This window comes from Homo sapiens, chromosome 14 (genome assembly GCF_000001405.40).
Source record: "Homo sapiens chromosome 14, GRCh38.p14 Primary Assembly".
Classification (NCBI taxonomy): domain Eukaryota; kingdom Metazoa; phylum Chordata; class Mammalia; order Primates; family Hominidae; genus Homo; species Homo sapiens.
The window spans coordinates 100999439-101016229 of record NC_000014.9 but is presented as its reverse complement, the minus strand read 5'-3'; the positions used below and the strand labels follow the sequence as shown (position 1 = coordinate 101016229).

General features: G+C 44.0%; 1 protein-coding gene across 1 annotated transcript in view, besides 2 other annotated features; it reads right to left on the bottom strand.

The window, feature by feature from the left end:
- Positions 1 to 10393, bottom strand: part of LOC124903407 (mucin-2-like) — a 28646-nt gene extending 18253 nt beyond the window's left edge. Inside the window, exons 1-4 of the mRNA XM_047432049.1 lie at positions 10301 to 10393; positions 8685 to 8861; positions 8481 to 8577; positions 7400 to 7551 (exon numbers count right to left, since the gene is read on the bottom strand). Of these exons, the coding sequence (XP_047288005.1) occupies positions 7400 to 7551; positions 8481 to 8577; positions 8685 to 8861; positions 10301 to 10393 (519 nt within the window). The remainder of the gene's footprint in view (positions 1 to 7399; positions 7552 to 8480; positions 8578 to 8684; positions 8862 to 10300) is intronic.
- Positions 6863 to 7586: an enhancer, noted in NCBI's record as "H3K4me1 hESC enhancer chr14:101474981-101475704 (GRCh37/hg19 assembly coordinates)". NCBI's record gives its function as "activates a minimal SCP1, AML or CMV promoter by ChIP-STARR-seq in naive H9 embryonic stem cells {active_cell/tissue: H9 hESC(naive)}" and the evidence as "EXISTENCE:reporter gene assay evidence [ECO:0000049][PMID:30033119]".
- Positions 14343 to 15542: an enhancer, noted in NCBI's record as "P300/CBP strongly-dependent group 1 enhancer chr14:101467025-101468224 (GRCh37/hg19 assembly coordinates)". NCBI's record gives its function as "activates an origin of replication core promoter dependent on BRD2, BRD4, P300/CBP, MED14 and CDK7 cofactors, with strong dependence on P300/CBP, by STARR-seq in HCT116 cells {active_cell/tissue: HCT116}" and the evidence as "EXISTENCE:reporter gene assay evidence [ECO:0000049][PMID:35650434]".

Sequence of the window (16791 nt, the reverse complement as noted above, 5' to 3'; positions counted from 1 at the left end):
ATTATGCACAAAAAAGGCATCAATAAATTCCCCCAAAGTAGAATGTATGTGTCCACATTCTCAAGCCACAATAAAAGATAACCACAATTGAATTAAAAGTATAAACAACTTACAACTTTAAAAAATTAGAAATTAATTTTTTAAAATCAGCTCTAGTTTTGAACATTTAACTCAGATAATCATTTCTTCCAATAACAAGAAGAAACAAGAAGCCTTATAACAAATATTTTAATGTTCTGAAGACCACATATTAAGACACATGAAAATGCAGTCAAAATTGTGAACAGAAGCAAGTTCATACCATGAAATATTTTCATTATTAAAGAAGAATAACAATAGGGCATATATGGACAAATCCATAAAACAAACTTAAAGAAAGCAGAAGAAAGAAATCAATAAAGACAGATATTATTTAATTTGAACACAGGCACACAAAAACCAGTTGAACTGACAAGTTATCCCAAGAACAGATTCTTTGAGAAACCTCTAAAATAGATATTCTTCTAGGTCATCTAATGAAAAAGAGATAAAGTATGCACATACAAAATTAAGAATGACAAAAGTGAAGTAATCATAGAAATACATTAAAATTCTAGTATAAAAATACTATTTATAATCCTATGTGAATAAGTTTTTAAATCTCAGAAAAATCTATTATTTTCTAGGATAAATAATATCTAAAAACATTATTGAGCACTCATTATGTGCCAGAACCAGTGCAAGGTACTTTATCTCTGAATCCTCACGCTGGTCCTGTTAGGGCCCTCGGAGGCTTTCGTTTTAACCATTTAACAGGTGAGGAAACTAAGAACTAGGGAGGTGACACAGTTTCCCCATCATATGGAAAATGAGAGAGCCAAAATCTTAAACTGGATTTGTCTAATTCCAGTGCCTGCGCATTTAAACGCTGAGCTATGTTAGAAAAAGAAGCAAAAATTCTAAAGACGTAGAAAACCTAAAGAATCCAATAAATACAGAAGAAATAAGAGACGTTACCAAAGACTTATCCCAGGATAGTTACATACGTGAGTTCTTTCAAGCTTTCGTGGACTAAATCATTCAAATAATGCATATATGGTACAGAACATAGAAAAAGATGGAATGTTCCCTAATTTATTTTACAAAGTCAGCATAACTTTGACACCCAAATTCAACAACAAATAGATTTGGAAAATTCTAAATGAAATATTAGCCCAGCAAATCTTGTAGTGTATTAAAACAACAATACACCATAATCAAGTAGAATTCAATCAAAAATGTTTCAAAGTTACGAAACATTAGCTTATTGTATCAACAGATCAACAGAGAAAAACAACATGATATCTGCAGATATCAAAAAAGCATTTCATAAAATTCTAACTCCAATCCTGATTTAAAGTCTTATATTAACTAGGTATAAATACTTCATTTATTTAAAAAATCTCAACTAAAAAATGATTTGCAACCATACTTAAAAGTGAACCAGAAACAAGACAAGATTTCTGTTATCAATAATATAATGTTTTAGAAGATCTAGTCAAAGGAAAAGAAATAGATGAGATAAAGTGACAGACAAAAATTGCATTATATATAGATATGAATGACCCTTTTTTTTTGACATGGAGTTTCGCTCTTGTCACCCAGGCTGGAGTCCAGTGGCACAATCTCGGCTCACTGCAACCTCCGCCTCCCGGGTTCAAGCAATTCTCCTGCCTCAGCCTCCTGAGTAGCTGGGATTACAGGCACCCACCACCATGCCCAGCTAAGTTTTTTGTATTTTTGGTAGAGCCAGGGTTTCGCCATGTTGGGCAGGCTGGTCTCGAACTCCTGACCTCAGGTGATCCGCCCACCTGGGCCTCCCAAAGTGCTGGGATTACAGGCGTTAGCCACCATGCCCAGCCATGAATGACTCTTTACCTAGAAGTTCCAAAACACTCAACTAGAAACTTGTAGAACAAATTAGAGAATTCAGTGAGATGAACAGTAACAATAAATATACAGACATTTCCCTACATACCAATAACAACCAGTTAGAAAATATAAAGAAAGTGGATCAAATTCACAATAGAAGCCATACTTAATTCCTTGAGATAAAAATAACAAATTGTGAATCTGTCGAATTTGACAACTTATGAATATATATGTATACATAAAACTCAAAATATCATGCAAAGCCTGTTTCAAAAAATATCAACTCTCTTTAAATTAATTGACAGTTTTATAAGGTTCCACACAATATCCATAAAGAATGTTTTTAACTTTACAATATCACTACAGTTCATCTGAAAGAATATACAAATAAGACTAACGGAGAAAATCTTGAAAAATAAGAATTAAGGAAGACTATTGCTACTGAGTAATAACACATTTTAACAATACAATATACTAAAATAAAGCAATGACAAAGCAATGGATAATAGAAAACCAGAACAAGAACCCGAGCTATAAAAGTATCTAGCATGTATTAAATGTGGAAGTGGAACAAATAGTTATTTCTCACAATAATTAAGATGATAAGTAAAGATTCAAATATAAAAGATGAAATCATGAAAGAACTAAAAAAAAAATTAAAGTTCAGTTTGGGAAAGGACTTTCTGAGCTAAAAGAAAAATTCAAGTGAAGAAACTGTAAGGAAAAATTAAAGATAAATTTTTAGAACATAGTAATTTTTAAAATAAAAAATAATTTATCAACAAAATGAAATGGCAGATGAAAAAGTGGGGGATCCTGGTAACATATGATATAAAAAGAGTTACTATTCTTGTTAAAAAGGCCTTACAAAATCAAAATTAAAAATGAACACACCTACAGAGCAACATGGGTAAACGATTTCCAGTTCTAAGTGGTAAACTGAACAAAGCTTGCCTGCTCTGCAGGGAGAAAAAAGTTTCAAAAGACCTATTATTAATATTATCAGAGATATTAAAGAAGCAATTGCATTCATAAAACAAATTGTTATATAATATTTAGAATATAATTTAAAAATTAAAAATTAGAAATATGAAAGCAGAAATGAAAATAAGTTAAAACATAAAGATAGGGAAATCCTTCTTAGAAACAGAACATGAATATTAAAAGTTGAAAATCAAAGGAAAAATATGGGAATATTACAAAACTAGTCAGGAGTTCCAACATACAAACAATAGAAATGCTAGGAAGAGAGAGGCTGGGCACGGTGGCTCATGCCTGTAATCCCAGCACTTTGGGAGGCCAAGGTGGGTGGATCACTTGAGGTCAGGAGTTCAAGACCAGCCTGGCCAACATGATGAAACCCCATCTCTACCAAAAATACACATATTAGCCAGGCGTGGTGGCACACGCCTGTAATCCTAGCTACTTGGGAGGCTGAGGCAGGAGAATTGCTTGAGACTAGGAGGCAGAGGTTGCAGTGGGCCAAGATCATGCCACTACACTCCTGCCTGGGCAACAGAGTGAAACTCCATCAAAAAAAAAAAAAAAGAAAGAAAGAAAGAAAAGAGAAAGAAAAGAAAAGAAAATGCTAAGAAGAGAAAACAAATGTGAGGAAATGATCCAACCAGTTGTTCAAGACAAGTTTCTAGAACTGAAGGACAAGTATCTTCAAGGTTAAAAGAACCTGGAAAAATGGATAAACATAGATACACATCAAGACACAAACACATGAAATTTTAAAACACTGGAAGACAATGAGAAAGTTCTACAAGTTCCAGAAAGGAAGAAAAAAAAATCACATAGAAGGGATGAGGAATCACAAAGACTTAAGACATCTCACCAATAACACTGAAAGCCACAAGATAATGATTTGTGCTTTCAAAATCTGAGCCAAAATAAACAAAGGTTTCCAACTTCGAATTCTATACCCAGCCAACCTTTCAATGTCAGTGTGGGCTAGACATTTTCCTTTTTAGATGTGAAAGATCTCTAAAAATTTACCTTCCATTAAGCATTTCTACAGAAACTGCTAGAGGATGCACTCTAGCAAAACAAAGGAGTAAATCAAAAAGAATGAAAACATGGAATCTACAAAAGTAGGTAATCTACAAAATCCAGCTAAGGAGAGAGGATCAAAGGAATCCTCAGAAGGAGAATGTGAAAGAGATTCCAAGATGGTATCCAGAACCCTAAAGATTACCCAGTTCATAACAAAACCAGCCAGAAGGCTCTAGGAAGATACTTCTAGATAGGATAAAACATATCTTTTAAAAAATTAAAAATAATGTGTTTGAATATATTGAGAGGCTAGGGATAAATCAGCTAGGCTCCTAAAAAAAATTAACCAATCAAAGAGAAAAAAATACAAGTATTAACTCCAAGAGAAAAATAATAGTCATGAAGGAAAGGTAAATTGTAGTGCTGTGTTGCTCAGATTTCAGGAATGCTTACACTCTCATAAAAAGATGAACTCTCAATTTGGATCAAACCCGAACTATGTACTAAATATATTGAGGATGGTGCACAGAAGGAAGGGAGGAGGGGGCGGTGAGGCCAAGGAGTCAAATCCTCATCTTCTACAGTTGTAAAGTCACGATAATGCCTAAGCCTCAAAAAAGAAAAAGAAAATCAAGAAGTAGAAGAGAAAAACAATGTTACTTAAACATATGGATGTAAATGTCAAGAGAATAGTTAAAGGAGTTAAAAACTATTGCTTCCATTAAGCAGAATATTAGGGTGGAGTTGGGAGAGTTGGAGGCCTGATGCTCTACAACGATCATGTAGAACTATCTGACTCTTAAAACGATGCATATGCATGACTTCGACAAAAATAAAAACTAAATGAAAAATGAAAAAAACCTGAACTGGCAATTCAGATACAGATAACCAAAAGAGATCGGGGGAAATGTTTTTTTTTATCACAGGTAATAAAAGAACTGCCAATGAAAAGAACGAAATACTGTGTTTTGACAAATTGGCAAAGGTGAACAACCTTGATAATTCCCAGAGAAATAAGTACCTCTCAAACTAATTCTGAGAACGTAAGTTGATACAAGCTTTAAGAGGGCAATTTGGCCATAAAATGATCACACCTTTTGACACGACATTCCACATTTAGAATGAACTGCAGAAAATGAGCCAGACATGTATATGACAATGAATAAACAAAGATGTCCTCCCAGACTTATGCAATCCAACCTCTAAATGGATCTAAATATTCAATAAAAGCAAACCAATTAAATTAATTACAATATAGCCATTTGCTAGAATCCTATGTAACCATTAAAAAGCACAAGATAAGGAATTGCTTAATGGCATGGGAAATGTTCAGGATATATAATTAGTGGAAATAAAAGACAGGATGGCAATGATAAACTCAATTAAGCACACACAGACACGTACACACCTAATTTATAGAAAAAAAACAAAAGGCGGAGGCTGGCCACCAAAATGTTGGCAATGGTGATCTGTGAGTGGGGGAACTAGGGAGAGTCTTGCTCTTACACTTGTTCTGTTCAATATTTTTCAAGCTTTTTATAATAAACATGTATTTCTTTTTTAATGGGAAAAATATTTGTAAAAATTAGGTGCAATAAATGTTAGCCATTAGCTTAGGTTATTTTATGGGGAAAACGTACATGGCCCCTGCTTATTGCACTCTCCATTACGGTAATAAGTTAATAGAATGCAATTAGCTACGTAATTTTTAAAAGAGCCTTCGGGCAGGGATGTGAAGGTTACTCTGAGCCCCATCTCAAGCTGGCATCTGGTCAGCTGCAAAGTAACACGCCTCCCACCACTTAGGTGGGACCAGAGATGAGGGACTTCTCTAGCCAGCCCTGCCCTCCGCTCAGAGAAGCAGCTGTCAGAAATGACCCAGCCTCTGCTTGCTAATGTTCTTGGTGAGAAGCACATGCATTCCAGCCCCTGTCTGAGGCCATCGCAGGCACTCCAGCCTGTCACAAAGCCCATCTTTGATCACCTATCATCTAGTCTGAGTTTGGCCCTTAGTCACAGGTACACAAGTATTTCAGAGTGTAACCAGGAAAGGCAGAGCTCACCCAGCAACGCACACAGAGCCCATCACGGTTGTCCTCTTGGAAGCCTGGCTCAGGCCACTGCACCTTCACAAGCTCTGGGCAGGATGACCTTCCAAGACAAGAGGGGCAAGTCACACAATCTGCTCAATCACATGACTTATTAACAAGGCAGGGGGACCCATCCACATTCACTGAGAGGGTACTTTGGGAATGGCAAGTTGGGTCAGAGCTGGCTCCTGCCCTCCAGATACATGGAAGTCAATGTGAAATGGACAACTATGGAACTGCACATGGGGAGTGATGAAAGGGGCACTTGAACAGGTCTGGAGAAGGGCTAGGGGTGTCTTGAACAGGTCTGGAGAAGGGCTAGGGGTGTCTTGAACAGGTCTGGAGAAGGGCTAGGAGATCTTGAGACTCACAGACATGATGGAGGTGTGAACTGAAGAATTACAAGTAAGGCTGGAGCAAGAGAGGAAAAGGAAGGGACACAGGGCCAAGGGGATAGAGTGGCTTGGTACACCACAAGTGGGGCCCCTGGAGCCCATGGGGGGTTTAAGTGGTACCGGGTATGCATGCATGTCACCCACAGGATACAGTCAGAGACGAGGCAAGCAAGCAGAGGGCATCCAATTGGGCCAGAGAGGGAGGATGAGGCCTGTGACCAGGCAGGGGCAACTGGAAGGAAGCGAGGAGGAGAGGCATTCACGGTGTCACGCTGATAGGACTTACTGATGGATTGCTCCTGGAGGGTGCAGGGAGGAAGAAGATGCAGCCGACCTTGGTTTCAGGATTACTGAGGCCATTCATTGAGATAAAGGAACATGGGGGAAGGGGGGTATATAGGTTTGGCCAAGTAGAGCAATGCACTGAGGTTTAGACCAGTCAAGTTATTGCTATATTTTGTTATTACTATCATTGTCCTCAAACTGAAATATACACAGAATTGGACTGATTATAGTCTTTATTCTGACACCAATCAACATGAGTCCATGAGTGGCTCTATTTTAGTATCTTCATTTAACTTTTTAAGGATTCAGTGCCCATGCATAAGCCCAGCCTCCAACCCAGAGCTAGAAGAGTAACTAACTTACATCCCCCTGGGTCTTCTCCCTGTGCCGGGTCAATGTCCCATACAGCCAGGTGGGCCGGGGGCTTCCCGCTGGCTCTTCCATCTGAGGCTCTGACAGCCACTGGCTATGACCTGACCCTGGGTTTAGGAGCTGTGCTTTGCATGCTCACTGCCTGCTCCTATCAGTAGAGTTCCTTCCATGCCAATCTTGGCCCAGGAACTGACTCAGCCAGGCTTTCCTTGCTGGGAAAAAAATGGGCTGGTATTCATAACAGATGAGCACCAAGGGGGGCTGTCCCTGAGGTCATGGACGCAGGAATTTGGAGGCAAGCGAGTGGGTACCAAAGGCAAGGCTCTAGGGCTGGGGGCAAGCCCAGGCAGCTGAGAGTGGCCCCTGTACCCACGCCAGGGAAAGAAGAGAGCATCCTGTTGGCTGGGCCAGGAGCAAGGCTCTGAGCTCTGCAGCCCATATGTTCTGTGGATTTGGAAACATGCCGTTCGGGGTGACTGTCAGGAGCAGGAAAGGAGCTTTCCAGATGCCTTGCTGCGGGGCTTTATGAAAAATCACCAAGTTGGTCAACTTGGACAGGAAAGTTTTGTAAGTTCTTTCGTCCTGATGAGCAAACCATGAACATGTGCTGCAGTGCTCTCGGGATGGAAACCTTCACGTGAAAGAGGCCCTGACCCAAGCCCACAGGTGCGAGACAAGGCAACCAGCCTCTGCAGACAGAGCCGCTGCCAGCTTCTGCTTCAAACCCCTACCTGTGTGTCCCGGGTGCGGTGAGCAGTACTGGAGGCAGGTGTGGGGATGTGAGATGCGCCCCAGACTTGATACAGGCTTGGGCTGTCTGCACTCATCTGAGCCTCAGTTTCCTTCTCTGTAAAGAAGGCAAGTGGCACCGCAACCCCCCCTCCGCCGGCAACACTGGCAGGCTTCAGCAAAGTGGCCAGTGTGGCAGCACAGACGCCACCCATGTCAGGGAAGCAGGGAAGGAGGGACAGCTCCCTGGGGGGTCATGCGGGGTTGCGCTGGGGAACATGAAGCACCTCTGCTTCCCTTGTTTCCAGCTCACATGCCTCATTTTTTTTTCTTTCTTCTTTTCTTAGAGATAGGACCTTGCTCTATCACCCAGGCTGGAGTGCAGTGGCACAAAGCCACGCTAGATGTGGGGGTAGGGGGGCATCCCAAGGACCCCAGAGATCCTCCCACCTCAGACTCCTGAGTAGCTGGGACCGCAGGCATGCACCAACACACCCAGCTCATCTTTTTATTTTTTGTAGAGACTGGGTCTTGCTATGTTACCCAGGCTGGTCTCTCGGCCTCAAGCTAGCCTCCCACCTGGTCTCCCAAAGCACCGGGATTACAGGCATGAGCCACCACACCTGGCCCTCACAAATCTCATTTCTTAAGGCTCAATTCCACTCCAGAAAACCAACTAGCAAGGCTTGATTTCCTGCTCATCTCAGCCTTTGTGACACACCCCACTCTGTCTCCTCTTCCTCACAATACAAATCCAAACCCAGGCCACACATCATGACCAAGCCACAGTCCCCGAGAAAGGATGGCAAGGAGGAAGCCTGGAAGGAGAAGAAGCCAGGAGACCTTTAATGCAGCAGCAGGGGACCAGAGGGCCCCGGGTGGCCCTTGGCACCCAACTCCATGGCTTTAAAGGGGTTGCTGCTACCTTTGGGACCCCTCCCCTCCAATATGGCTTCTCCAACTCTGATGAGCACCCAATCTTTGGATTTGTAGCCTGCAGGGCAGTGGGGTTTTGCAGGGAGCAGGGGGTGGGAATGTAGAGCACAGCTGCGCGCAAATGAGTGGGCCAGGGGCCAGGGTCGCAGAGGAGGACAGGGGAACCCTGTGACAGAGGGTGTCAGTTAAGCAGCCCCTTATGAAGTCTGAACTCTGGCTTGGGGTTCCCCGGAGAACCCCACAGGAGAGTCCATCAATAAATGAAGCCAGGAGCCCAGCAGCAATGGGTTGGGGGGTGGGCAGCTGAGGCAAGGGAGCCCGCAGCAGGACCGTGTGTGCCCAGGAGGGCCTTTCTCCCCTCTGGGCGGCCGCCAGCAGCCCCGGCTGGCAGGGGGCCGGCCGGGGTCACCAGCTGTTGCTGATACCAGAAACATCTGTCAGGGATGGGGTTCGGTCCCTGCTGCAGGAGCAGGGCTGTCTTTTTTTTTTTTTTTTTTTTTTTAGATGGAGTCTCACTCTTGTTGCCCAGGCTGGAGTGCAGTGGCATGATCTCGACTCACTGCAACCTCCGGCTCCCGGGTTCAAGCGATTCTCCTGCCTCAGCCTCCTGAGTAGCTGGGATTACAGGTGCATGCCACCATGCCCAGCTAATTTTTTGTATTTTTAGTAGAGACGGGGTTTCACCATGTTGGTCAGGCTGGTCTTGAACTCCTGACCTCGTCATCCACCTGCCTCGGCCTCCCAAAGTGCTGGGATTACAGGCGTGAGCCACCGCGCCCAGCTCAGGGCTTTTATTTTGTCACGTTGAAAAAACAATGAGTTGGTAGGAGAAGCCTCGGATCCAAGGACAAAGACAATATCACCAAATAGCTCCAAAATTACAATGAGGATCAGAAGCCTGGAAGGATGGGGTGGAGGTGAGTGGGGATCAGAATGGAAACATCTTTCCTCTCTCTAGCGGCCAGTTTGGTGAGGGCAAGGGACTCGTGCCATCCTCCCTCTTCCCATTTCACAGATGGGAAACAGCCAGAGCTGAGCTGTCACTGGCTCCGTCTAAAGCCTCCAATGAAGGAAGGAAATGTCTCTCTTCAAGAAGGTCATCAGAGGACATTGAGGTCCCCTTCACGCTGGAGAAGCAGGTGGAGGGAACATGTGAATGCCACAAGGCCAGCGTGGCTCACCCCACATGGAGGAGAGTGACTCCTTCCATGTGCAGGGGCTGCCAGGCCTTTGGGGTTTCATGAGATGCCTTCCTACATGCAGAGGCAGATGCTCACCTCCGACCAGGAGTGAACCCCTGATTTCTCCCAGCGCGGTCTCTGGCTGGAGGACCATGCATGCGCTCCACGGGGGCAGGGGCCGCACACATGTGCTCATCATCAGTGCATGGCCATGGCACACACCGAGAGTTTTACAGAATAAACAAATGAAATGTACTTCCCTTTTACAGCTGAGGGGCACGAAACTTAGATGGTTCTTGGAACTTAACCAAGAACAGAGATCAGTATCTTTCCTGGCAGAGAAAAGATAAAAGAAATCAAAAGAGAACAAGACACCTTGAATCCTCCTGTCCCAGGGGTCAGTCCAGGTCCAGTGTCCACCCACTGAGGACAGCAGGGGCATAGGGATAGCCAGTTGTGAGGACACCAGCACTGAGAACCTGGCATCCGGGTACCCTAACCCTTTGTTTTCTGCCATCCCCCCCCGGCCCACTGCATCTGTGATCCTTGGTCACTGCTCTGCATGGCAAGTGCCCGGACGCCTGCAGAGAGCACTGAACATTGAGTCGGAGCTGCCTGGGCCCTGATCGTGGATGGGATGGGCCCCAGGTCTCAGTTTCCTTGTCTGCACAATGAGGAACTGACATCACCCGCCCGGGACATTGCCCAGATGAAAGGGGAACTGCTAGCTCTGCCTGGCACACAATAGGCATGATACAATTTTCCTTTCATTCTCCCCAGTGTCAGGGTCCACCCAGCGCCTGCTCCCTGGGAGAAGGGTCAGCCTCCAGCCACTCCGCCCTCTGAGTGGGACTGTACAATCGCTGGCCCTGGCCCTGAGTTCCCTCTCCTCCCAAACTGAGATAAAGCTCCCATCCCACCTAGTGCCTGCACACTTGTCCCATCCATTTCAGGACAAATTAAGCTCCCTTCTGCCTTTGGGAGGGTTGGAGCCTTCGGCCAAAGGTTCGAAAGAAGAGCTAAAGAGGATAGCCAAGCTCACTCAAGTTTCATCAGAGAAGCAAAACCAGACCTCGGAATTCTGTCTCACAAACCATCAGCCTAGGTTTATTTTCAATCTTTCCTTCCCTTCTTTCAGGAGGCCCCCGCGAACCCCACAAGCCAGACTCAGCTCTGGCCGGTGGCCACAGGGTTTCAAATTTCGAAAGGGGCCTTTTGCAAAACGTTCAGTTTCAAGAGCTAGTTCGATTGCCCACATCCTGTCCAAGCTTCCTGGGGGAGTGAGATTTATTTAAGAAAGGAAAAAAATCCCCATGTTCATGCCATTGAGTGAAAACATGCTCCGTCCCAGGCAATTTCAAGGATTAAGGTTACATATCTCTTAATGAGTCGCAGGTGGAAGGCAAAGTGGAGTTGGCTGGAGAAGGAGGTGCTATTCCGCCATGCCAGGGACCCCAGTTCTCTGCCAGGGATATAATTTGTGCCCCAGTATGACCATACAACTATCCTTTTGTGCATCCACTCATTCCTTCAATTCAACTAACGTTCTTAATGATCAGCTCCTCTGCACTGGGTTGTGTACTGGACAGTGGGGGAGTCTGAGGTGCCCAGGACAGAGCACCTATACCCAGGGAGCTGAAGGTCTGGTTGTGGAAGCAGACACCTAAACAAATCATGACCAAACAACAGATGTTATGAATGAAGGTCAAGTTCATGGCCTTGTAACAGTTCAGAGTGTGGGGCAACATAGCCCACCTTGGGGAGGGAAGCAAGAGAAGTCTTGCATCTATGGAGCAGTGGGAGGGTGACCACAGGGAGGGGATCAGGGACAAAGGCATAGAGACACACACGCCCGGAGACCCGGGGAGGCTCTGCCAGGCAGCACACAAGGGCAGGGGGCATGTAGTGGGAGGCGTGGCAGGAGGGAAGGAACTGGGCCTCCATCCTGGGGCCTGTGGGAGCCATGAGCGGGCTCTCAGGAGCAGGGACTCTGGGTCATGCATTCTAGAAAGACCGCTCTAACTCCATCGCCCAGGAAGAGAACAGAGTGGAGGTGGGAGCAGAAAGACCAGCCCAAGATGAGGGAAGCCTGGGCGGCATGGTGGTCCAGATGAGAAAAGGGACCTGCGAGCTCACTGGAGGTGCTACAGAGGAGAGATGGGTGCTTTGGTGGAGACTGAACAGCAAAGGCAGAAGGAGGAGGCAGCTGGGATGATGCCTGGAACAGCACATGCCCAGTGGCCCGGCTGCCTGCAGGATATCACTGTTTCTCAGGCAACCACTTTAAGAAACTCAGAATGAAATGCAGTGGAAGAAAAAGAAAAGGTCAACTCATATTCCAGTCTACCTTTAGTTTGTCATTTGGCAAAATATCTGAGAGAAATACTTGGAAGCTGACCAGGGAAGATCAAACCCTGACACTCAGCAGAGATTTTGTTAACAAGTGAGGTGCTTGAGTGAAGGGCAGGGTTTGACGGCTCACAACCGCCCAGGTCATTATCAAGCAGAACTCAAGTAACAGCCAAGCACAAACCCCCAGGTCCAGTCATTTCTCTTTCCTCCTAGATGTCCAAACACCCCACGGACCTGACCCCAGAGGGCCAAAGCCACTGGCCATCTCTGACCATGGCTAGAGTCCTGTCCTTCTCTCAGTCTCTCCTCAAAGCCAAGGAGAGAAGCAAGGGGAACTTCCTGTGAGCATCAGGACCAACCCAGCTGGCCAAGCGAATGACAGTCCCTAGAGCCATGGCTTCATAGCACTTATCACGAGTGTAATTAAATTCTTTTGCCAGAAACATTTGCTTAAAATCTCTCACCCAAGACTTGGAGCTCTATAAGAGCAGAGGTGGTGTCTCTCTTACTTCTTTTAAGATAGGTTACTTATTTCTACCACCCAGCCTGTAGCACACAGAAAGGGCCCGATACCTTTTGCATAAATGAATGACTGGATGAACACCTAATTCACCTAACATTCCCTGATGTCTAGACCTTCTGTGGGCTATAATGACATAAAAAGAACACCTGTCCTCAAGAAGCTCATAGCCCTTTGGGATAAATTGGCAGCTCATAGCAGACAATGTGATGTGGGTTCTGGCATGAGTACGGAGGAGTGAGAAAGGGCAGGTGTGAACAGAGGACTGTGGAAAGGAAGCTAGGGGAGAGGGCAGGGGGCTGTGAAGATAGGAGAGGGGGTGACATTTGTGTCAGGCCCAGCACAGGTGAGTAACCAGTGGGAGGGATGGGAAAACTAAATTAATTGTAAGTTGCTGAATGCTCTGAGGTTGTTTTGCCTCATTATCCAAGGAATTCTGTGGACAGAGGGGCAGTGACAACCTAACTCCTCTCTCCTAGATCAGCTTCCAGGCACCAAGCAAACCTCAGAGTCTAGTCCGAAGCCTTCTGTGCTGACGTTGCTGCCCAACCCCAGCGTTCAGAGGTCTCCCTGCCACCAACACAGCCTAAGCTCCTCTTATAAGGGGCTGGAGCTCACCCAGATGGAAAACGGCCGATCTGGAAGAGTCAGAATAGGGGTCCCAATACCCCAAACTAAGAAGGGGGAGTCTACTTGGCGTGCTCTGAAGTAGGAAGCCCAAATCAAGTCCTCACGAAGGAGAGGGCAGTATCCACACCAGATGACCAAGAACCAATCGCCAAGTTCAAACGAAGGACGTGAGAACACCAGTGAGAGATGAAATCCAGGGTCAGGAGCCAGCCAAGACAAGAGAAGACAAGAAATGGTCAGTGTGAGGCATACAGTGGGCCCTGAATACCTATGTGTTGAATGAAGGAAGGGAGGGAAGGGTAGAGAGGTGAAGGGTGGGTCTTGTGTATGTGTCCTACATAGAGCGTGGGTATTGCCAATTCATTTTTCTGGTTGTCTGTTCCCTGGTAGAAGGGCGTGCCATGCCATCTTGAAGGTCTGGACTAGCCCAGAATACCATCCAGACTGGTGTTCTTCCTAGAACTCAGTTGAACTCTCCAATCTTCTGGAAGAGGGGAATTTGAGTATCACATCCATTTGAGAGCTTTTAAATTAATGCATTTGAAATAATCAAATATAGCTACGTTAGGTGGGGATGATGAAAACTGGCATGTAACATTTCTGAGACATCTCTTTCCTCCCAGGTACCATGCTACCTATGTAACATGTATTAAATAATCTCCCGTAAAGCAGCACATCCACCCAGCCAGACAGGGATTGTTATTCTCATCTACCAGATAAAGGTCAAGGGGTGCTTCAACCCAGTGTCCCACAACTACAGCAAGGAGGAATGTGGTTGCTTGGAAAGGCATGGAGTGGGCCCACTCGCTGGAGGCATAAAAACAAGACCGGGTTATTTCTGATCTCCTGTCTTGGCAGAGGCAAGGGCAGCTTTCGGGAAGACCTAGGGCTTTCATTTCACCATGCCATGCCAGCATTGCCCAAGGATGGGGCAATGTCCAGGGCAGTCCGAACTGCCAGTATCCTGTCTCGCTGTCTGGCACTGGACACAGGAAGCTGGATTCAAGGCAGAATCTAGACTTGCGTAGGAGGATGCCACAAACCATCTGACACACAGCACATCTCCCCAAAGAACAGCTCCCAGACCATTCTCAGATGGGCCATCCTGGTTCCAAAAAAGCCAATGTATTTTTAGCTATCGTTCATTCATTCAGCAACAATTTACTGTGCTCTTCCGAGGCTCAGAGCTGGGCAGGCACCAGGGATACAGAGAATAATTTGACCCAGTTCCTGGCCCCTGCGGCACATCAGTTTAGTGATGACATGTAAACAAACGCCCACGATAGCGTAGGGTGGGTGCTCTGATTGAGTTATTTATGCTGTGGTGTGAAGCTGGGGCATGACTACTCTCTGTTGAACAGTCAGGGAAAGAGTCCCAGTGTGAGTTCATTCACTCACTGCCTTATGCTTCAATAAGTGACTAATTCACTAATTTATTGACTCATTCACTTATTCACTTACTCATTCCCAGAGCTAATTTATTCCTTGATTACATACTCATTCACTGACTCATTTGCTCACTCACTAATTCACTCTTTTATTCACTAGCTGTAATATATCCATCAATTATCCATCCCTTTGTCTATCTATTCGCTCATAATTTGTTTCATTCACTGACTTATTTATCCAGTTAATTTATTTGGTTGTTTCCTCTTTCTTTGAGTTATTCATTAGTAAACTCACTAATTCCTAGATTAATTCATTCATTTGGTTCTTCAATGAGTCATTAACTCATTGATTGATTCATACATAGACTCATCTATTCATTTATTTTCTCATTACTCATTGACTTTCATTTATCTGTTAATTCATAAATTCATTCAAGAATTCATGGACCCATTGATTCACTCATCCATTTACATGTTTGTCTTTCATTTCTTGACTACTTGACCTATTAATCTTCCATTCATTCGCTCAATGACTTAGTCATTCATCATCCACTCATTCACTTTGTGACATTTTTACTTACACATGAACTCACCCACTCATTAACTCGCCATGCATTTATCCACTTATCACTGATTCAGTCACTCATGGACCTATCATTGATCCATTCACTCATTCGTGTACTCATTCCCATTTTCATTACTTCATTTATTCGTTCCTTTGTCTACTCAAAGACTCATTTGTTCATATACTGCTTCACTCCTCCATTCTTTTATTCACCATGTATTCACCTATTCATTCAACAGATGCTTATTGCATGTGCTGTCCATGTAAGGCACAAGGGGCAGAGCAGTGAAGGAGAGGAGTGTGGTCCCCAGCTTTGCGGAGCTATGGACTAATGAGTCTGTCACTGGCTCAGGAGTCATCTCTTCCACAACTCAACTGACACTGAGATTGAGCTGAAGGCATACCTTCTGTGCTTCTAGAAAGCCCATCTACCTGTCCTATTTTATCAAATTGCTGCATGTATAAGTGGGTCTCCCTCTAGTCTCACAGAGAACCCATCTACCTGCCCTATTCTATTGAATTGCTGCATTTGTAAGTGGGTCTCCATCTAATCTCACAGAGCTACTCAATGAGTGGAACTAGACTAAATTCATATATAAATTTCACTCCTCATATGGGGTCTGACAAGAGTTAGCATCAATACTTGTTGAGCTGAAATTAATACCTTAATATTAGTCATTTTAGTACTCTCTTAGATATCAGCTGCCAGAAAATTTTAAAATATGGGGCATAGGGGTTTCCTACCACCACCTCCAAATAAATCAATTCACTAGAATTTATAACTCAGATAGTGAAAAAAACTGAATGTAAGTAGCATGAGAAAATGTCTAAAATATATCCATAGTATATGCAGAATGGTACTATGTACTATTAAAATAAAGATACAAAAGATTAAGGTTTCATTTCATAAAAGTCCACAGTGCAGAACTGAAATACCTACAATCTTTGTTTCAAAACACATTTTAATCACTGGTTCATGATTTACCCTCTTGTAATTTACTTTTTCATATACTTATTTCCTTAATCATAATAATCAACTCCATGAACCCACCAAAATACAAAAACAAGAACACTGAATATTTTAACACCTGTTTCTGACCTCATTATACACAGAGAAAACAGATTGACTCTTTTCTGTTAAATGGATTTCAGGGAAGCAGAATTGTGTTGATCATAATTCTTGCTTCATGAAATGTCATCATTTGAATATTCTTGTCCATTCTAGTGTTTTTGTCGTTCATTAATTTAGTCAGTCACTCATTTTCAAAAACAAAGTCAACAACAAAGAATCTACTCCCAAGAAAGAGGGGAGAAATTGACTATCATTTAAATCTTTCCATGACCTCCTCAAACAGTGATAAAACAGTTAACCAAAGTTAAACAAATCCTTGTTTCATGATATAATCTCCAAATTGGTCATGAGTGGCCATTGTAATTTTACTAGCATAAATGCTTTGTAC